This window comes from Homo sapiens, chromosome 3, assembly GCF_000001405.40.
Source record: "Homo sapiens chromosome 3, GRCh38.p14 Primary Assembly".
In the NCBI taxonomy this organism is placed as follows: Eukaryota; Metazoa; Chordata; class Mammalia; order Primates; family Hominidae; genus Homo; species Homo sapiens.
This window is the reverse complement of record NC_000003.12, coordinates 6552736-6576476: the sequence shown is the minus strand read 5'-3', so window position 1 is coordinate 6576476 and position 23741 is coordinate 6552736. Positions and strand designations below refer to the sequence as shown.

The window sequence follows — 23741 nt, the reverse complement described above, 5'->3', positions numbered from 1 at the left end:
GACTTTTTCAATTTATTATACTTTTCAGCTTCAGAATTTCTCTTTAGTGCCTTTTTAATTTTTGTTTATTATTATTATTATTTTTTGAGACAGGGTCTTATTCTGTCGTCCAGGCTGGAGTGCAGTGGCACAATCTCAGCTCACTGCAACCTCCAACTACTAGGTTCAAGTGATTCTCCCATCTCAGCTTTCCCAGTAGCTGGGACTAAAGGCTTGCACCACCATGCCCAGCTAATTTTTGTATTTTTAGTAGACATGGGGTTTCATCATGTTGGCCAGGCTGGCCTTGAACTCCTGACCTCAAGTGATCTGCCCACCTCGGCCTCTCAAAGTACTGGGATTACAGGCATGAACCACTGTGCTCAGCCTGATTTCTTCTTATAATCTCTATCATTCTATTAATATTCTAATTTTGTTGATACGTAATTTTTTTTTATTTCCTTTGGTTCTCTGTCCATTGTCCATGTTTTCCTTTTGTTTTTGAACAATTTTTGGAGAGTTGTTTTAAAGTTTTTCTCTAGAATGTGCAATGATTTGTTTTTTTAGGATTAGTTTCAGGAGATTAATTTTGTTCCATTGAATAGGCAATCTTTTTCTCTTTCTTTGTATGTCTTGTGATCTTTGCTGAAATTCAGACATTGCAAAAAAGTATTTTATCAATCTTTTCAGACTGTCAGGAAAGACCTTTACTAATTAGCAGGAAATGTTCTGAACCTTGACATCTCCCCAGAATAAAGTCTTAAAGGTCTTCTCAGTCCTTTTCTGAGCATATGTATTCCCTGGGCTTGCATGTGTGCTTTCTAAAATTTATTCTAGTATAGGCCTGGTGTGGTGGCTCACACCCCTGCAATCCCAGCACTTTGGGAGGCTAAGGTGGGAGGACTGCTTGAGCCCAGGAGTTGGGAGACCAGCCTGGGCAACATAGTGAAACCCTATCTCTACAAAAAAATTAAAAAGTTAGCCAGGTGTGATAGTGTATGCCTATAGTCCCAGCTCATTGGGAGGCTGAGGCAGAAAGATTGCTTGAGCCCAAGAGTTTGAGGATGCAGTGAGACATGATTAGGCCACTGTACTCTGTTCTGGGTGACAGAGCAAGACCCTATCTCAAAAAAATAAAAATGTACACCAATATATGGCATAAATTAAATATCTTAATTTTCCAAAGAGTCCCACTCCTGGTTTATATTGGGTCTGTAGATATGCTATCATATCCCTCCACAAAAAAATCTTGCCCCAGGCATCTGTGGGTCTGTACACCTCCTGAAGTTTTCAAAAGCTACTTTGCATGACTTTTCCCAGCCTGAGACCCAAGATATGCAGCTTTTCCCCAAATGAGTTCAGAGGGAGGAAAAATAGAGACTCATCTTTCAGGCATTCCCTAGAAAGATTTCAACAGTGCAAATAAAGTCTTCTTTGCTCCCTCCAGTTTGAAGGAGGAAATCGGAAGCTGGACAGCTATTTCTCCCACACTGGGCCAGGGTGGATCTTGTGCAGTGGGAGTAGGTAGTAAAAACTCCACAGAATTTTCTATCATTCTAAATGTCATTTTTTCTTAATTGGACATTTGATTGGTTGTTGTAAATCATTCACCTTTTCAGCATTCCTACAACGTTATTTAAGTCAGTTTTAGTTGTTTTGTTTTGTTTTAATGTTTTTATGAGGGAACAAGGTGCCTGGAGCTTACTATTAATAGTTCATCATCTTGCTGATGTCAGTCCAGAAAATCCATAGGCATCTTTTAGCCTTTCCTTCCTCTTTTACGTAAGACCACAAGGCTAGAAGATGTTGGAGTTGTGTAATACCCTTTCTTCCAAGTCAGGTAAGGGTTAGATAACTCAGTTTCCCATGGAGGGCAGGCTGTTGTTAAGAAGAATGTTCTGGCAATATCTCAAAATAATAAAATTTCCCCTAGGGTTATTTAAAAATGGTTATTCATTCCCTATCTCTGGCTGAAACAGAAGGGTATTTGTCTCATTTCTTCATCTTAAAAACTGGGTGGGATGATTAGAGGTAAAACCCAGGAAAGTGTGAGACCTCCCCTTAAAGACTGTGTTTCCAGATGTTTTTAACTTTTGATCTAGCCCATGTTCAGTCTCCATTAATCTGACAATTACTGTTTAATTGTTCAATGGCTTCTGCTCTGGGTAAGTTTATCCCGGGTTTGATATTATCCATTGTTACCCACTTCTCTAGACTTCAGAATGGTGGTTTGCTCTGTGACATTAATTCTCTGTAGAATCTAAAGAAAATTATTCATGTTCAGTTTGTTAAGTTTTTCTTTTCTTATAAAGATGGGAATGGTGGCTTCCAAACTGTGAATGTTGCTGCTGAAACTGGCAATCTTCCTTTTTTGAATATAGCTAATGCCTTTTTCTGTATCCACATGCTATCTTTTTTCTTGGATTCATTTTATGTTTGGTAGACATGCCCCTTCAAATTATTAGAGATATTTGAATAAGCCTTGTGGCTAAGTTTATATTAAAAAATAGAAAACATCTCAAATCATACTTTAAGTCTTAGAAAAGTACATCACAGTCTGGCAAATATTGTGCTAAAAGAAAACAATATATTGGTTTAATCTAGGAGCATTAGTGAAAACCATATATAAACACAATAAAAAAAAGAATGCTAAACAAAGAATAAAATGCCTTACAAAAACAGGATTTGTCCCAGAAATGCAAATTTGAGAACATATTTAGAATTTAATACATGCTATGTTACTAAACAAAAGGAAGAAAGACATCTAACATTTTCTTTTAAAAAGGAGTACTTTATAAAATTTAGCATTTATTACTGATTTGACTAAATACAGAATAAAACTGTTTGTAATTAAAACTATTCATGCAAAACCAATAGAATATATCAATTTCAATGAAAAACATTAATCTAAAAGTGGTGAGCATAGCTCCTATTATTATTTTTATACAATATTATTATGGCATGTTTATCAACTGCAAAACTGAAGAATAATAAATAGTATGCATAATAAAAGAACATAAAAGTATTTTCAAATTAGCTACATTAACTCCATGAGAATAATTGAAGAGTACATTAATGTTGATCAGAATATAGTAAGCTATCTGTTTTGAAAAGCCATTTAAAAAAGTAATATCTTGGCTGGGCTCGGTGGCTCACACCTGTAATCCCAGTACTTTGGGAGGCTGGGGTGGGTGGATCACCTGAAGTCGGGAGTTCGAGACCAGCATGACCAACATGGAGAAACTTTGTCTCAACTAAAAATACAAAATCAACCAAGCATGGTGGTGCATGCCTATAATCCCAGCTACTCGGGAGGCTGAGGCAGGAGAGTTGTTTGAACCCGGCAGGTGGAGGTTGTAATGAGCCAAGATTGTGCCATTGCACTCCAGCCTGGGCAACAAGAGCGAAACTCCGTCCCCCGCCACCCCAAAAAAGTAGTATCTTTTCTATAGAGCAACAGTAAAATATGAAAGTTGATGTATTAGAAAAAACTATGATTCAAATACCAAAAAGAACTTCAAAATATACAGGACTAAATCACAAAATAGTCAAAACAATATGAAGCAAAAAATAAGTAATTGTTTATAGTCATAAAATAATCCAAAACAGCAGTTTTAATATTGTAGAGATGTCATTACTTTTCAAATTTATTTATAAATTAAATGATCTTTTGGTCAAAATCTCAATAAGATTATATAGAGGAAAATTTGGCAAATTCAATTTCAAGTTAATTTCTAAAAAAGAAATTCATGTATAAGAATAGCAAAGAATATTAAAAAAGAATGTATGACATGACCAATGAAGTAATAAAAACCCATACAGTAGCTGAGAGTGAAATAGCTTAGATCCACAGACATGGAGCTCAGTAAAAGAGAAAAATAGAATGATTCTATTTATCCAGCTAACTAGCTAGTTAGCTGTCTATCAGAATAATCTTATAAAACACAAACTAACTTTTCAACCCATGAGGAAAGAATAACTATTCAATATGTAGTAAATGAATAATTGTTTATCCAAGCAAAAATGTGCATGTACACACACACACACACACACACACACACACACACACATCTGATTTCCTTCTATATGCTATCAAAACTTATGCAGATGAAATAAAGTTTGAAAGTTAAAACATAAAACCATATAGATTTCAAGTTATAGGAAAATTTTGGGAGACATTATAAGCTGTCTCTTTGGATGTTAAATGCTCTCTTAAAGTTAACAAAAAAATTTGAGAAAAAATCATAATATTTCATTAAACATAATTATATACCTACTGAGATTATTATTGATATTTGCCTTGCAGTACTATTGTGAAAAGATTATTTAATGTAAATAAAGTTCAATATAGAATCTAAAAAATATTTTAAAAATATTTATTACTTCTCCTTCACACATCACTTCTGCTTTTTTGTGATATACCCAGGAAGTAATTTTTCCCAAATAATGTAACCCTTGCTACAGCAACGGAAGCCAAACAAACAAAACCTATGATGGCTACTGGCTTGGCAAGATCCCTGCACCAAAAACACAACAAGACTTCCTCTTATATTATCAACTTCCACTTATTTTTAATCTCCAAAACTTATGTTTATTACTTAATATTTGCCTTGAAACATTCCTGCACAAAATTCGTTCTGTTATATTTCTATAGATGGTATACAGATCTTTAATGTTCATTTGAACACAAAAACTAAGTTCTCCATTTTCTGAGGTCCATTTTCATTTGTATTTATATGGCTGATTTTCCTTACTGAGTTTCTTTTCTTTTCTTCCCCTCCCCCACAAAAACTCATGGGCATAGCACTTCCGGTATACCTTGAGGTTTGACCATTTGTTTGTCCCCAAAACACCTCGGCTGGCTGTTTACACACTGTCCTTTCTATTGCATGAGTACTGTTGACATTGCTCCCTAGTCCTCTAGCATGGAACACTGATCTGAACATTTCTTAACTCAACCTCATGTTTCTTCTTATGGTTGGTTTGCTTTTGTTGTCCAGATGGCTAAAAATCTCCCTTTTTTACCTTTAAGCTAAACGATCTTACAAAGGTACATCTCACTAGCCATTGCATAGATGAATCATTCCTGGACTTGGTGTTCCTTCTCAATGTGCAGATTCCGTTCCTTCTGAATTTCAGGAAGAACCTTCTGAAATGAGGGAGCAATGAGACAGATTACTAGTGGAGACTGAAGCCAGGAGGCCTGACTTTGACATATGGCACCATCATCTACTAGTTGTGTGTTTTTTAGACATTAAATAAAGTCCTATGTTCTTCAAGTCCTTCGTGTGCAAAATGGAAATTGACATTACAATAGTATCTGTTAGGTTATTGGGAGGATCGAATAAATGAATACATATAAAATGATCAACACAGTGAGTCTGAAAAATAAAGAGTTGTAGAATACTCTTTATTTGTTGAGTTTTTTCAAAGATGTCCATGCAATTCTTTCCATCCTGCATGCCTGTTTACAATGCAACTTTGCCACTCCTTCTATCAAGAGGTGGTGTCTATTTCTTTTCTTCTTCAATATGGTCTAAACTTTGTGCTTAGCTTTGAGCAAATTAATAAAGTTGTGTTAAGAAAAACTGAAACTGAACTATTTCACTGTTAGCAGTCTGAATTAGAATTACCGTGAGTTGTTTAAAAATACTGTGACGAGTTCGGCTGGGAGCGGTGGCTCACGCCTGTAATCCCAGCACTTTGGGAGGCCGAGGTGGGCAGATCACGAGGTCAGGAGATCGAGACCATCCTGGCTAACATGGTGAAACCCCGTCTCTACTGAAAATAAAAAAAATTAGCTGGGCATGGTGGCGGGTGCCTGTAGTCCCAGCTACTCGGGAGGCTGAGGCAGGAGAATGGTGTGAACCCGAGAGAGGAGCTTGCAGTGAGCGAGATCACGCCACTGCACTCCAGCCTGAGCGACAGAGCGAGACTCCATCAAAAAGGAAAAAAAAAAAAATACTGTGACAAGTTCTTTCCAAGGGACAATAATCCCATATTGAAACTGAAAATGCAGGAAGGAATGAAAGGCAGTAGAAAAGATAAGATAAAGATAAAGATAAATAAATATTGTTTTATGAAGCGATTTTAGAAATGTCTTATGGAGATTAAAATATATGTAAAATTAAAGTGCGTGACAACAGTAAGACAAAAGTCAGGAAAGATTAAAATAAAATTTTAAGGTATTAGTAGTGTGGGAGAGGTGTTAAAAGTAATTGCATATTAGACTATATTAAAGAAAGAATTTATGATTTAATAGTGTATCCAAAGATTTTCATATGATTGTAACTAATGAATTTATACAGGGAGCAACGAAATACTAAACCATTTAGTTCAAAGTAAGTCAAGTAAAGAGACCTACAGAACCTTAGTCAAAGTATAGGGAAAGAGTAAATTATTGAAATAATCTCAGGTTTACTGGTAATTCTATGAAATGTAAATGTACAAAATTTTAATTTCTTTATAATTATTGTGTGATATATGCTATAGAATTGTTAAATGTTTGGACATTCTTTTATGATTAATATTTAAATGGTCTATATGTTTTTCCTATTAAAACAAATATGTAAATTTTTTAAAAAAGAAAATATGGCAGAAGTTAATACTAGACCTCAGCTTTAAGCATGTTTTCACTCTGTTTAAATCTAATCACCAAATTATTTAATTATAAGAAATCATGTGAAGAGAGAGGTCACAAAGAAGCCATCAAGAACAAACACATGTAAATTACAACACTTTGGATCCTTCATTCCCCTTTGAACTTTCGCATCTGATACTATGCAACAGAGAGCTCATAATCAGTGAGTCCTGCCTGAACAACTGTCCTGCAGAAACCAAATGATCCTAGTTTTAAGTCCTTTGAGGGGCGTTTGCAATGCAGGAAGAGAATTGAAACTATTTTAGTCATATTTATCTTAATCTTTATATTTTACCCTTTAGCTTCGGGTTTATTAGCTTCTATTTCTTGCACTTCTAATTTTATGCATTACTTCTTTTACTTATCACTTATTTTCTTACATCTGCAATATACCTTTTTCATGTGATTTTGTATTAATGGACATTATATCATAGCATCTAAAAGCACATACTCTGGGGCTACAGTGCTTACACTTAAATTCCAACTCCAACACTTACTTATTGCAAGGCTTTGTGTATCATGCTAAAGCTCTTTGTGACTCAGTTTTCTAATCTGTAAGATGGGAATGAAACCTACCTTATAGGGATGCTGTGAAGATAAAGTATAATAAGTGAATATATCTAAGCTGCCAAAAAAAAAAAAAAACCACACACAACAATCATTGTATTAACTATGATGTCATCTCATCTCATTTTATCATTTTACAGAAAATACCTTTTATTCAAGTTGAAAATGCCTACTACTGAAGTTTCACCTCAGCGTAAAACACTCAGAAGAACGTTTTCTAACTCTTTAGGCTTTACTTTATTGTAGGCTGAAGGCTTCATGGTTTTGGCACCCTCTTCTGTTATCGCTGCCCTACCCCTTAGCCATATCATATTGATCTTGTTTCTGTGATCCTTTATTTCTTCTTACCTAACATGGATAGCTTTGTCCAGATTTTGTATCTCTTCTGATATAAATCAGATTAATTTTATTTATTACTTTTATAATTTACATGGCCCTTGCCTTCTCTGGGTTGTAATTTAATACTTGAGAATTGCAATCTCTTCTGTAGTATGTGGGACAAATAAGGGATTAAGGAAAGTTAAAAACTCAGCTGGCACCTTGGGCATTGTTAGTGGGAATACCATATCTCTGTCATCTTTTCTGATCAATTAGATAACCTCTAACATTTGCTTTGGCTGACTATAACTCTGCCCTTGGTACAGAAAACCCACTCTGCCTGACATCATCACCACCAAAGCTGAGACTGACTTGGAGCTTAGGTCTTCATCTGAGACATTCGGATTCTTTTATTGACATCTATCTTCATGCTTATCTCCCCATCAGTAGTTCAAACTATACCCCCATGCTCTATATAATAGAAAGGAAGGGAATAATATTTTTCTCTCTTGAGATTTAAGGATATTAGAATTCACAGGATTTTGCAACTCATCAAAACAGATGCAGAATATAATGTCATGACTAAATATAACACATTGTTGCCCTGAAATTATCTTTATTTCCTTAGTTAACTTTTTTGAAATGTCTGACATAAGGTAATATCTTACTTCCAGCTTTGTTGCTTCTCTTTCTTGTGTTTGTTTATTGGTTGTGTGTAGGTTTGTTTGTAATGGTAGGCGTGAGGTTATCTCACTCCTCTCATCTCATTACACATTTTTGAAGAAAGAAGAGTAGAGGCCCTAATTTTGTACACTATTTGTTCTTAGAAATTACGACTCCCTTTTGAATGCAATAAACTCAGGCAAAATTCTGAAATGACCTCAAACAAAACAGGTTGCCGCTTGTAACAAAAAAAATTTTTTTTCATATAGACAACTTTGCCTTTGGGTAATTGCTTTGAAATAATTAGAAAATAAATTGTACAAAAGTCTATAATACTTTTCTAAGTAAATCTATTACATTGACCATAAATTCATTCTTACGTACTTATGTTTGACCTGAATCATCTCAACTACTATTCACTTTAGCCCCCAAAAACACTCTGCTTGACACATTATAGTATCAATATTTTCCTAACATCTACACCATATTTGAGAATATCACAGTCATATCCCTTGGCATTGGGACCACAATATCTATCATCACATTCATCTTTTGTCAGTTGGGAACCTGACATTTATATATCAGAAGATCCTTGGGGGTAAGCACTTCATTATTTCTGAAGCCTTTTTCTCATGATAATTCAAAAGCATAAACTTTATTAGCTAAAAAGAGGAGAAAATGAGATAATTACTATACTTATATTTGTATAAAGATTTATCATTATATTTGTTTGTAATGTAACTCCTTTAAGAGTTTAATTAATCCCACTTAGTGTTTAAGTATCCTATATATCTGCCAACAGGAGTTCAATTTCTAGTTGCTGTTTATTAGCAAGATAATTGGGTTTATTACTTAAGCATGGTAGCTTCCTGGCACTCAGCCCAGATAGGATATTTTATATGTATCATATCCAGGAAAAAAAATACATTTCCTCAAAAGCAGATGTTTAAACAATATTAAAAGCTTAGAATTTTTCAAACTACCATAATACACCATATTGGGGTTAAAACAACATAGCAGAATCAAATAAACTGGAACATTTTCTCCTAGACTATTAAGTTTATAATTATTACTTTCTCAAAGAGTTTTTTTTTTTTTTCCGGAGTTTTCACTCGTTGCCCAGGCTGGAGCGCAATGGCACGATCACGGTTCACCGCAACCTCCACCTCCCAGGTTCAAGCAATTCTCCTGCCTCAGCCTCCCAAGTAGCTAGGAATACAGGCATGCACCACCATGCCTGGGTAATTTTGTATTTTTGGTTGAGACGGGGTTTCTCCACGTTGGTCAAGCTGGTCTCAAACTCCCGACCTCAGGTGATCTGCCTGCCTCGGCCTCCCAAAGTGCTGGGATTACAGGCGTGAGCCACCATGCCTGGCCTCTCAAAGAGTTTTTGAGTTTTATTTAGATACACAGACACAAAAATATTTCTAAAGGTATTTTACATTTCAAGTTTAGTTGATTAAACTATTTTTTGCCTGCTTATAATTTTTCCCCGAAAAATAACAACCTTGGTAAAAGTTTTCTTGCTAATGACTTGCCAAGTTTCCAGTTTCTAATATAAATTCATTTTGAGATACATAGGCTATCCGAATACCAAAATGAAAGAAAGAAAAAAATGCTACTAAATTTTGGGAAGGAATTATGTCAAAATTTAACTCTAAGAATTAAAATGGAGGTCTGATAGATTCGCTGTATAATTTCTTTTTTGCTACCTTTATTTCAGCAACTTGAGGACAAGTTGGGTTTTGAGATAATTTCAAGGTAAAATTTTTGCTAAAAAAATTTCAAAGTTATAGTAGGTGAGCAAGAGACTTGAATATATATTACTGTGGTCTATGAAAATCAGGACAAGCATATTAATTCCAGGTAATCAAGGGAAAAAGAACTTCATAGAGGTTGGGCTGGGCCTAGATTTATTTGGCAAAGAAAAGGGTCACTCTCCACAGAGATATAATCCCTAGGATCTATCAAAGACAAAATATTCACTTTCCTAACCCCAGTAATCACCTCCTATTAAAACATCAGCTTTCTAGAAAATGGGAAAATATTATTCATTATGATATCCCCAGCATTGAGCAAAATATCAGTCCTGGAAGAGACTTACCCAGTGATTGCTGGATGGAGAGATGAACAAAAGGTGGAGGGGTTGATAAGCAGCAGTGTTGCATTAAGTAATTTTATATTGTGTGTTATCTGACTTACTATAGAATTCTGATCATCAAAACGCATGTCATTTTTGCCATGTAAAATGAAATATATACTCTGAATTATTTAAGCTACAAACTCTCACAGCAAAAGAATAATTTTTAAAAAGGCATATTTTAAGTCCTATGAGGTCTCAAATCACAATAGTATGCATTCTCAAAAGCATCTGGCAATGTTTTAATTTTTATTTTTTAACACCTCATTTTAGAAACCATTTTACTGTTGATGAGATGGAAATACAGCTTAGGAAAAAAGCTATTTATTTGGTCCTTTAAAATCCACTTGCCCTTAAAGTGTGATGATTCTTGCGGCTATTGTGTTACATTTATATGTACCAAGAAACAGGCTTCAAGAGGAAAAGAAAATCTATTTCTCCGTTCTCTCCTCTTATCTTCTTTTTCTTAGTTACCTCAGAAGCACACGAGATAAATATAACATGGGAGGTTAGAAAAAAAGTCTCTCTAGGCCTTCGAAAACACTTCATCAAAATGAAATAGAATTTCTCTTATCCAGTATGAATTTCTTCTCTTCTTTGGCTTCAATTTTATTTTTGTGTGTCCTCATTTCTGCCTGCTTTTTCCAAACTACCCAAAATATCAGTAAGAGTCTGTATGACACCTATAGTTTAAAAATTCAAATGGTAAATTTTTCTCAAAGCACTTTTTTAGGCTTTATGTCTCTAGATTTCTGTCATATATACATAGATGTACAACACATATGGCAATCTTTGATTATATGTAACAATATGTTACTGTAAGCTGCATAGACTTGCAGAAAACAGATAGGTTGAATATCAAAGAAGGAAATAGAATTAAGAGGCTCGGGGTAGATTGTGAAGGATGAATATGCATCAGGATTAAACTTTTCTATAAAAATGAGACGTTTGAACACCAGAACTAAATCTGAAGTTGGCTGGATATATGGATGGCATAAAATGGTTTTTTTTTTTTTTTTGAAACGGAGTCTCACTCTTTCGCCCAGGCCTGACTGCAGTGGCGCGATCTCGGCTCACTGCAAGCTCCGCCTCCGGGGTTCACACCGTTCTCCTGCCTCAGCCTCCCGAGTAGCTGGGACTACAGGCGCCCGCCACCGCACCCGGCTAATTTTTTGTATTTTTAGTAGAGACGGGATTTCACCGGTTAGCCAGGATGGTCTCGATCTCCTGACCTCATGATCCGCGTGCCTTGGCCTCCCAGAGTGCTGGGATTACAGGCGTGAGCCACTGTGCCCGGCCGTAAAATGTTAATAAACACCTGTTCTTACATGCTTCTGTGCTCTAGGTTTGGTTGGTCCCTTACTGGCTTCCATAATCTTGTTTATTTACGGGACACCCATATGAAATGCCATTACTGGAAGAAGTCTTGGGACCATGTGGTTGCTCACTCTGTGCTGCCAGATATACCACTGGTGATTTACATTTGCTGAATTGTTTCCCTTGTCACCTGTGGCCAATCCATTGTTAAGTCCTCTTCTCAAGGGGAAAAGACCTCAGCATAACAAGGTATCAGGCTTAACAACCTCTGATAGATAATCTTATACAGGGGCTAGTCCTGGCTATTTGGAGTAACCAAAAAGAATGGAAGTAGTTCAACAAGAAATCATTGAATTTAAATGTACCGGGCTCTGATACCACTCACTGGGATTGTGGCTAAGTCTCTGTGCTTCTCTTTGCTTATCTGATTGTTACAAAAATTAAATAAGAAAATATACAAAAGTGAATGTAATAAGAACTCAAAAATTTAGTAATGGTTTTCAGCATCAATGAGGAGTAGTGTTTATGATGCTTACATTATGAAGTCTAAATAGCTACTCTCAAAGTTTCTAATAGATCAGGAACAAAGAAGCAATTCAAGGCCAGAGAATCCCTCCCTCCCTCCCTCCCTTCCTCCCTTCCTTCCTTCCTTCTTTCCTTCCTTCCTTCCTTCTTTCTTTTCTTTCTTAATTTTTTTGAGACACAGTCTCCCTCCGTTGCCCAGGCTGGAGTGCAGTGGTGTGATCTCAGCTCATTGTAACCTCCGCCCAACCCTGGGTTCAAGCAATTCTCCTGCCTTAGCCCCCTGATTAGCTGGGATTACAGGTGCATACCACTGCACCTAGCTAATTTTTGTATTTTTAGTAGAGACGGGGTTTCACCATGTTGGCCAGGCTGGTCTCGAACTCCTGACCTCAGAGGATCTGCCCGCCTTGGCCTCCCAAAGTTCTGGGATTACAGGTGTGAGCCACCGTGCCGGGCCAGATAAACCTTTTCACTGAAAGAGAAAATTTACCATGTGAAATAGAGAATGGACTCTGTGCTCCAACATTTAAATATAGTCATTTGTTACCTCGTTTTATTCCCCCAAATTCCAGTTCTGAAAGCCTGTCAGCTAGAGAATGATCTTCCCAGAAACCTGATAATGAGAAGCAATGGCCAAAATGAGTATGGAAAATACAGCTGGTCTAGCACAGAAAGTCATTTTTCCCAGTTGTGTTTAGATATTTCAATAAATGGCCTGTAACATCATTGTGATTTTTATAACAAATAACATATGGCAACATAATCCACCAGTGGTATCCTGTCACAGAATAACTTATATGTACCATAACACCAGTTTGTAGGGGAAATAAAGTTGTCAAGTGGTATATGGAGCGAATTCTTTACATTATACTGTAACCATCTTCCTTGCATTATAACTGTTATTTTCATAAATGTGATCAATTGCAATAATAAACTTGGGGGACAACTGTAGTGCCTCCTGACAAACTTTCATTTTTCCTTTTTCTTGGTTGCCATTCCATATTATTTCTGCACTGATCTGGTGTTTAGCTTGTTGACATTCTATACTGTATTTGGTAAAAAATAAGACACTTAAGCTTCTAAATGTTAGAAAATGAGGCTACATCAGACTGCTTAAAATCTAAAGAGCTAGTTTTAATGTAAGAATGGCTTACTGTAGCTGAGACGATATTCTAGGCTCTTTATTTAAGCCCTGAAGGTTCAGGGCCAGGCAGTATTGCTGCTCTTTAACTTGCATTTCTTCCTCTAGCAGCAAAAGTACTGGAGAATCACCACCTGGTTTTTCACCCAGTTGACATAAAGAATCTTTACTGAGGGTAGACATGGGTGGGATAGAGAGAAATAGAGTTCTGTATGCTAAAATGACAACTCCTTAATGATCCAAATAGACCCTAAAGATTGTAAGAAGCAAGAGTTTACAAACAAAAATACATGTTCTAGGACAAAGTATAGCTGACATAACAAATGAAGTTAATATTCTATATTTCCATTGATAGGTGGGGAATGGATCAAAATTAAGAATATCATTGAAAAGTCACAATGATTTTCATGATTATAAATTCTTCATTGAATTAGTTTTGGCCAAAACAAATTGCCAATTACTTTTAGCAGCATCTGGTTATAATATGTGTACTATAATCCAAAAGTCAATAAAATTATTTAACAGCCACGTTAACTCAAGAAAAATGAAGGAATATGGCAAAGTGGGTGATCGTGTTGCTTAAACATTGTCATATTTAAACATGAGTTCACAGTATACTACAATATGGTAAATCAGCATAAGCACACATCACTAGCGTATCTGCCCATACAATGTAAATATAATGCCATGCTTTATTCCTGTTCCATAATTCTCATGCTCCTCATTGTGGAGGTGAGTTGATCCCTTAACAGTAAATCAGTTTTAACTTAGGCTCTGGGATGCATGGTGTCCTTAGCCATACATAACCTAAGGATTCTAAGGACAACACTTTAGGGACTCATCCTCAAGTCAAATTTGTTCCAGTTTTATGTCCAATATTGAAAACAACTTGTACGTTCTATTTCTATGAACTTGTCACCACCTCACACTGTAGTTTTATTGTTTTTAAAGCTGTGAAATATTTTGAGTAGGAGTCTAATACTCCTTTAATGCTTTAGAAAGATGTCCATAAAGGAATATGTAAAATAAATTGATAGTGAGAAAACAGAGGCAGAGAGACCATTGGAAAGGACTTACACAAAAATGTAGGGTATAAATCAGGATCAATGTTGCAAGGTAGAGAGATAGGGGAGGTTGGTCAGAGAGATGCTGGATTTGAAATATGATGGATATAAATTGAGCTATTGTTCAGAAGGGAGTAAGAGAGATATTTCTAATGTGCTAATAATAAATGCATGGCAACACCTTTGCTGGAAAGGGGAATACAAGAGAAAACAAACTTTTATGCCAAGGTTAATATTTTCTGATTCAGTCATCTTCAACGTTAGGGATTTAGACACATACATTTAGAAATATTTCTCAAGGAAGTAAATATGAGGGTCTACATGTGGAGATGCAGATCAATAAAGGGGAATGAAAGGAAGCCACTTAATTAGACATTAGGAAACAATGGTCATTCTAAAAGAGTAGTTGGGTCAAACCCAAATTGGAAAAGGTTAAGAAAGAAATGAAATGTAAGACAGGAGAAGGAGCCAGTCCTTTGACAATTTAGCAAGAAATGCACAAGTATTCACACACACCTAGAACTAGTATTTTTAGGTTTTATTTAAAGGGAATGAAGAATAAATTTCTTGAGTTATTATGATCATGAATTGATTCACTATCATCCACAACACTTTCATTTAACGACTATGCTCCAGTCGTGATTCTAGATGTTGTAGATTTGAAGTTGAATATGAAGATGTTCCAATACAGATATCACCATCTTCTGCAAAATGACAGTCAAGCTGAGATATTTTCCCACATAATTGAGAGAGAATAAGTATCAATTAAAGATGGGATTTTGTTTGGCTAAATTGCTCACATTGGTTTCTATATTTATCAAGTTCTTTGCATAATTATTTTACCTTTGATATGGTTTGGCTATGTCCCCACCCAAATCTCATCTTGAATTGTAGCTCCCATAATTCCCACATGTCATGGAAGGGACCCGGTGGGAGGTAATTGAATCATGGGCTCAGGTCTGTCCTGTGCTATTCTTGTGATAGTGAATATGTCTTATAAAATCCAATGGTTTTATAAAGGGGAGTTCCCCTGCACACACGCTGTCTCTTGTGTGCCACCATGTAAGACGTGACTTTCCTACTCCTTGCTTTCTGCCATGATTTTGAGGCCTTCCCAACCATGTGAAACTGTGAGTCAATTAAACCTTTTCCTTTACAAATTACCCAGTCTCAGGTATGTCTTTATTAGCAGCATGAGAACAAATACAACACCGAACTTTACTTTGCTTGTGATAGATACAGTCCATAACTTGGTAGCAGGGCCTGCAGCCAAAGCTTTGAAGAGAATGGTGCTGACTGATAAAAAGTGCTAACATATGTGAAAGTGCCTTGTAAACTGTAACATACTAAATAAACAGAATTGCTATCTTTCTCTTAGAAAAGAATTTATTCATCCAAACAAGACTACCACTAAAAACATAATTTTATCTCATTTGGCTTCACGAATCATGCTGCTATAAAATAAAATTTTTCATAGCTTTCTTGGCGGACATGTAACATGAACCTGTAAAATCATACCTCACCTACTATGTTTAATTTTATGTGTCAGCTTCTCTGAGCCATGGGGTGCACAAATATTTGGTCAAACATTATTCTGGGTGTTTCTGTGAGGGCATTCGTAGATGAGGGTAACATTTAAATTGGTCACCAAGTAAATCAGGTTGCCGTCCATAAAGTGGGTGGGCCTCATCCAATCAGTTGAAGGCCTAAATAGAACAAATGACCAGGCTCCCCTGCGCAAAAAAGAATTCTCTAGCAGATAGCCTACAGATTCAAACTGCGGCATTTGCCATCCTAGGCCTCGAGCCTGACAGTCTTCACATTAGAGCTGCAGTATTGCCTCTCCTGGGTCTCTAGCCTTCCAGCCTACTTTGCAGATTTTTAATTTGCTAGCTTTCAGAATCCTTCTAAAGCAATTCCTTGTAATAAATCTCTTTATATATGCGTATATATATACACACACACACATGTACACACACACACACACACACACACACTTATTATATTGGTTCTGTTTCTTTGAAGAAGCCTGACTGATGATAGCAACTCATCCTAACTAAAGTATAGACACATGCCAAAGTAATAAAAATAATAATTTGTAAAAATTCAGTGTGAAAGTTAATGAATATTATTCCAGAGGAAATTTTTTAAAAGAAGCTATTAAAACACATACAATAACAGCACTAAGACGAGAAGTCTATTTTTCAACTGATGTTTTAAAAACCCATTTGGGGTCCAACTAAGCCAAACCTAGTTTTTTTTTGTTTTTGTTTTTGTTTTTAGTTTTTAGAGTTTTCCAAAGGCAATTTATTTTAAATTTTATACCCAGTAGCAGTTTAAACTTTGGTGACATCTGAAAAATGGCTTATAGAATTAAATAAAATAGGTTCAATGCACAAATATAAAAGGAAGCATTGGTATTTTATTCTTGTCTCAACACCTATTTCCTTTCTGGCCACTGGACTTAAGTTTTCTTCCCAAGCTATGTCCACAGAAAATGTACCATTTTTGCTTCTTGAAAAATGTCAAAAATATGCCAAATATAAATGGATGCAAAATAAAAAATCATTTTATTTGAAATAATTGTTGTGTACACCATAAAACACTAAGTTATTGTTCAAATAGATAATTAGTATGATTCATTAATGTGATTCTTGATATTTGCTTTATTTCATTTTCTTTTTCATAGGGATAAAACTATGAATGGCAAGTTACAGCTTAGAAGAACTTTCATATATTTATTTCATTTCTTTGGCATAAATAAATTCCAAATAGGAATTTATTTTCCCAGTCACCAAATACAGTCATGCCTTGCTTAACAATGGGGATATGTTCTAGGAAATGAATTTTTAGGCAATTTTATCATTGTGTGAACATGATAGAAGGTGCTCATACAAACCTAGAGTACATAGCCTACTCCACCTCTGCTGTATGGTACAGCCTGTTGTTCCTAGGCTACAAACTGGTACAGCATGTGACTGTACTGAGTACTTTAGAAAACTGGAACACAGTGGTAAGTACTTGCATATGTAAATATACCTACACATAGAAAAAGTACCGTAAAGATACGATATGAAAGATTGAAAAATGGTATGCATGTATAGGACACTTATCATGAATGAAGCTTGCAGGACTGGAATTTGCTCTGGGTGAGTCAGTGAGTGAGTGGTGAGTGAATATGAAGGCCTGTGACATTACTGTGTACCACTGTAGACTTTATAAATACTGTACCCTTAGTCTACACTAAGTTTATTAAAAATATATTTTTCTTTCCTTAACAATAAATTTTAGCTTACTGTAACTTTTTGCTTTATACACTTTTTAAAACTTTTTGATACTTTTGTAATGACAGTTTAAAACATAAACACATACGGCTGTACACAAATATTTTTTCTTTCTTTATATTCTTCTTTATATTCTTTTTTTTAATTCCTTTTTTTTTTTTTTTTTTTTTGAGGCAGAGTTTCACTCTTGTTGCCCAGGCTGGAGTGCAATGGCACAGTCTTGGCTCAGTGCAACCTCCACTTCCCGGGTTCAAGTGATTCTCCTACCTCAGCCTCCCGAGTAGCTGGGATTACAGGCATGCGCCACCACACCCAGCTAATTTTTGTATTTTTAGTAGAGATGGGGTTTCATCATGTTGGCCAGGATGGGCTCAATCTCTTGACCTTGTGACCCACCCGCCTCAGCCTCCCAAAGTGCTGGGATTACAGGCATAAGCCACCACACCTGGCCTATATTCTTATTCTATAAGCTTTTTTCTGTTAATTACTTTTTACTTTTTAAACTTTTTTTGTGGAAAACAGAGACACAAACAGACATATTACCCTAGGCCTACACAGGGTCAGCATCATCTATATCACTGTCTTCCACCACCATATCTTGTCACACTGAAAATTCTTTAGCGGGATTAGCATGCATGGAGCTGTCATCTCCTATAATAATAATACGTTCTTCTGGAATACCACCTGAGGGACCTGCCCGAAACTGTCTTATAGTACACTTTTTTTTTTTTAACGAGTGGAAGAACACTCTAAAATAATGACAGAAAGTATAGTATAGTAAATACATAAACCAGTAACATAGTCATTTAGTTTATCATCATTGAGTATTATGTACTGTACATGATTGTATGGGCTACAGTTTTATACAACTGAAAGCACAGTGGGTTTGTTTATGCCAGCATCACTGCAAACACAAGAGCAATATGTTGCACTATGACATGAGGACATGAGGTGGTAAGAAATTTTCAGCTCCTTTATAGCCTTATGAAACCACCATTGTATATGTGGTCTGTTGTTGAGTAAAACATCATTATGTGGTGCATAGCTGTAGTTATGTGGACATCATGATTCAGATATTCAATGCCAAGTGTCAAATATCATCCTTTTTTGCTCACTATTGGCATTCTGGCCTCAACCCAAATTAGTTGAGCTCCTGCTTCGTGCAAGGTATCATGATGAGGTTGAAGAGTATGAAGAAGCATCATTGTTCATAGCTTCCAGGATATATAACAAAGTGAGGAAAGTAATCCCTCTGTGAAGATAAAATAATTAACAATTTAAAAAATGAAGAACATAATGTTTTAATAACACCTCTCAACCCATTTTCTTTCACCAGTGATGTGATTTTATTCCTTGAAGTTCTGATATCATATTTATCCCATGAATAGGAAGGAAAATATCACCTAGGAAGATGTCAGGTAGAGCCTCAGAGGGAATGATGAGAAAGAGAGACTGACAGAAGACAGAGGTAGGGAATGTTCAAAAACGAGCATTCCAGCTTTGCCTCTCAGTTTCAAACATTAGAAATGGAGGATATTAAAAACTTCAGAAAGGGTGTCAAAGATGACAGAAAAGGAGATCCCCAGGAAGTACCCCAAATTTTGCTTTAGATCTGTAGTTACTAGGACCGATTATGAATTTTGGAAGCAAGTGACAACTCAATGACCCCAGAGACACAAATATATAGACAGAAATATACATATCTACAGTTGACTCCTGAACAATGCAGGGGCTAGGGGCTCTGAACCTGTATGCAGTAGAAAATTTGTGTATAAAATTTTGACTACCCACAAACTTAACTACTAATAGCTTCCTTTTGACCAGAAGCCTTACCGATAACATAAACCATTGATTAATACACATTATGTATGCTGTATATATTACATATTGTATTCTTACAATAATGTTAGCTATAGAAAAGGAAATATTATTTTAAAAATCATGAAGAGAAAATTATTTACTATGCATTGAGTGGAAGTGTATCATCATAAAGATCGTCATCCTCATCTTCCTCACATTGAGGAGCTGAGAAGGGGAAGGAAGAGGAAGAGCTGTTTTTGCTGTCTCAGGGTGACAAAAGTGGAAGAGGTAGAGGAGATAGAAAGGGAGGCAGGAGAGCCAGGCACACTTAGTGTAACTTGTATTGAAAAAAATCCACATGCAAGTGTTCTTACATGGTTCAAACCTGTGTTGTTCAAGGGTCAACTGTATATACATATATAAAAATACAGGAGTATTATAAATAAGTGTATCATAGGTGATTATTAAAAATGACTATTATGCATTGGTGCTTCCCAGATGATAACCAGTGACTAGAGCTGGTTTATGATAAAGTTCTCACTGGTCTATAGCAGAATGACAAAAATAAGAACAATGTAGTTAGGTTTTCATAAAGTTCAATTTATTTCATGCTTTCCATGATAATTATGATGCTGTAATGCAGGTTATAAAATGATGGCATTATTAGATGATTTGTTCATCAGAAATTATGTTTAAAAGAATGTTAGCAACATTAAGTGACCTTCATATTTTTATTTGTGTGTGAGAGGGGTCTGCTTTTGGCAAACTGTGTTTGTCTATTAAATCACAAGCTCAGGGAACCAGTGATTTTATATAACTGTTTTCCTGGGCTGAATAACATTCTCCCCACCATGCTAAAGTGTATGTGTTCGAAGCTCCAATACCCAGTGTCTTAGCATGTAGCTGTATTTGGAGGTAAGTCCTTTAAAGAGGTAATGAGCTTAAAATGAGGCCATTAGTGTGGGCCCTAATCCAACATCACTGGGTCCTTATAAGAAGAGATTAGGACATAGAGAGAGACACCTGGGGTACATATGCACAGAGGGACTACCTTGTGAAGAAGCAGCAAGAGGGACGCCATCTGCAAGCCAAGGAAAGAAACCTAGAAGGAAACCAACTCTGCCGGCTCTTTGATCTTGGATGTCTCACTTCCAGAACTGTGAGAATATAAATTTATGATGTTGAAGCCACCAGTCTGTGGTATTTTGTTACGGCAACCCATGAAAACTAATACAAGTGTTATTAGGAGTAAGGAGTTGTTTAAATCTGGAGTCAGAGGCTGCCTCAAGGAACAGGTAGGAGGTGAGATAGACCGAATTTATGTGGAAACTAGGAGGAGGACATTCTAGGAGAGAAGAATGCTGGTAAAAAACATGCAAGAGCTACTCCATGTAGCATCTTAAAATAGGGAAGAATAGTCTAGTTTAACTTGAATAAAGTGTGTAATGAGAGTTCAAGTTGGTGAAAAGTAGGTTCAAGTTAATTAAAAAAATTTTGAATATCATTCATCAAGAATTAAATGTTTAGATTGTGTTAGGCAGCTCCACTGTATACAAATGAGGAGGAAACAGATACTAAGAAAATAAAGGCATCGACTACAAAACATTGTTTTGAGAAGTTTAATAATTAAATGCAAAGAAACATGACAGAATGTCAAGGCATTGATAAAATGTAGAAACCATTACCAAAGAAAGAGTTCACCACTCAGAATTTGAAACCAAAAAGGCTTATTGCTGAAACAAAGGTGAACTATGGTGACCAGGAATTGTTTCATTTGGCAGAGCAAACTGATGATCTACTATGGAATCTGGTAGAAGAATTTGTTTGCAGTTGGGTTGCTAACAGATGTGAAAGTGTGGAAGAAAATGCATGTTGACTTTATCAGTGTGTTTTGTGCTGTTGCCTGATGGGCATGATCGATTGAACAAGTTGTTTGCTTGGCAGTTTACTCATCACTGCAGCTATAGAAAAATCAGTCATGCCCAAATTGTTTGTGGGCTTCCTTATTTTCAACATGAAGTAATAGCCAAGACTTCATGTCTTTCTTCTAAATGTTGTTTAGTTCAGTCATTCCTCTTCCTACCATTGTTAGATCATGCTGAGAGCTCATCTTTGCTAGATCACACTGAGAACTTATCTGCTGTTATGTGCATCCCCAGCGCTTTCATACCACGTTATTCTCTAGGTCACCCTCAGATTAATTGTGCTAAAATAAGTATTCAATTACATCGCTGTCCTTTCCTACCAACTCTAATAATTCACAACCCTCTAAAAACTAAAATTTGTCCTTCTTGCATCTATACTTTTCATGATGCAGTCCAGCTTGCAATCTAGGATTAGCTTCCTCTATTGCCCACTTCATATACTGAACTTTACTAGGGCATTTTTATCACTGTGCCCTGATATGATACATTTTAAATCCTAACTTCAAGTTTGTGTTTACCATTTCTTAAAGCAATTTACAATGGCATCCATTTTAAGAGATTTACAAGAATAAAAGCTACAGAGTATCACACAGATTTATGATGACTATGTACACACACAACACACACTCACACTCTATTAAAGTTTATCTTCAAATGCAAGGATCAGACAGTTATCAGTTACCTTAACTTGATACTGTTTTCAACAGCTAGTGCTTTAACTTAAATTATTTAGGAAATCATCTCAAATTACTATAATACTTTAAATTCTCCTTAGAGATACAGAATCCAAGTCAACAAAAACAAAGTGACCTTCTGAAATCAGAATTCAATAAAATGTAAATCATTTAAAAATAACTCAAAAAAGGCACTGATCTTCTCCCAAACTCCCCACCCCCGATTAGTGGAGTAGCTTAGGTCAGAGATGGATCATCTTATGAGATGGATCATCTTATCTCAACGGATTCATAGGAAAACAAATGCCTCTGAGTTTTTTCTCCCTTTCTTTCTTCATGCTCCATTAAGAAGCAAAAAAAAATACATTTTCATTTTTCTGCTCATTAAAGAAGAATGAGTGTGGTAGAAAATGAAATTTAGCTCATTTGGACTGTGCTCAATTTAACAAGATTGACCTTTTCTATTCATTTTGATATGGTTTTTGGTTTTAAATGGACAAACAGACTTATTTTCGGGAAATATTGTAATTATTTCTCATCTCAGAAACAGTAAATCTTATGCAGATCAACTGCAGAACTGCCACCACCTTCACAGATGTTTTATCACCTCAAAGTTACCAACATTATATTAAATCTTAATTTTAATTAAAAATATAAAACTCAGCAGACAGATATTTATATAAGTTAAGCTTAATGACAAAGACTGATTCTAGCTTAATTATGTTTTAACTGCAGGATAGTCCAGGTGATATGGCTCCAATGAGTGGAGGAACACCAGGGTTCCTGGTCCTCATGCCGGTTTAGGTAAAATGACAGGGACACACACGGAGTGGTTTTAAGGAGTGGAAAGTTTAACAGGCAAGAAGGAAGGGAGAAGGAAGAAAGAAGAAGCTCCCCTGTACAGACACAGAGGGAAGGGGGCTCCGAAGCTGAAAGATGAGGTCCCCACCTGCCAGGGACACCAGCCAGGTATACATGCAGAGGCTAGAGGAAGCAGTGTTTGATTTGCATAGGGCTCAGGGGATTGGTTTGACTAGGCATGTCATTCATGTAGCCCGCAAAAGAGCTGGCCCTCCCACCCTACTCTTTTAATCTGCAAATGTGGGGTGCCATGATGTTCTACACACATGGGGATATGTGGGGGTGGCCATGTTGCCAGGAACATGCTGGGCAAGGGCAAGAAGGCCTCCTAATAGCCATGTTGGGTGGACCCAGTTTCTAATGGCTGGTATTTGCATACCAAAGTTTGCCTGCCTGGATCTAAGAGCCTGGGCTTTACAAGAAACTTTTCTGGAGATGCTTTAAAAAACAAAAGCTTCCCAAGGACCCCTTTTCCTCTCTATCTGCCTAAAATAATTTCTTAATAACTCCTACCACACAGGTTGGTAAAAACATGTTTACCATATATATCACAGATGAGAGCTATTACCAGCTTTATCATCTGGATAGCCCTCATGAAGCAACCCAATATTCAAAATATTTTCATGAAGTGTCCACTGTACAGCATTTATTGCATAACTGATTGTGACAAAACTAAACAATAAAATAATTTTGTAAAATTAATTTATGTTTTGGTTGGAAAATAGTCACATGAAAAACGAGCAGTTGAATTAAATTAGAAAGTACAAGATAATGGAGGCAATAAATTCACGGAAAGGTTCAGAATATAGAAAGTCACAGAGTTGGACAAACCCAAAGATAAGA

At 36.1% G+C, this 23741-nt stretch overlaps 1 long non-coding RNA gene across 19 annotated transcripts in view, besides 2 other annotated features; it reads right to left on the bottom strand.

Moving 5' to 3' along the window:
• LOC105376944 (uncharacterized) overlaps nucleotides 1-23741 on the bottom strand; it is a 246298-nt gene that overhangs the window by 160263 nt on the left and 62294 nt on the right. The gene's annotated exons all lie outside the window — the stretch shown is intronic.
• Nucleotides 5069-5269: a silencer, noted in NCBI's record as "peak4528 fragment used in MPRA reporter construct". NCBI's record gives its function as "represses an SCP1 promoter by STARR-seq MPRAs in K562 erythroleukemia cells {active_cell/tissue: K562}" and the evidence as "EXISTENCE:reporter gene assay evidence [ECO:0000049][PMID:32103011]".
• Nucleotides 11825-11994: an enhancer, noted in NCBI's record as "experimental_70950 CRE fragment used in MPRA reporter constructs". NCBI's record gives its function as "activates a minimal promoter by MPRAs in K562 erythroleukemia cells, with activity observed for the non-introgressed 3:6606255 variant allele {active_cell/tissue: K562}" and the evidence as "EXISTENCE:reporter gene assay evidence [ECO:0000049][PMID:34662402]".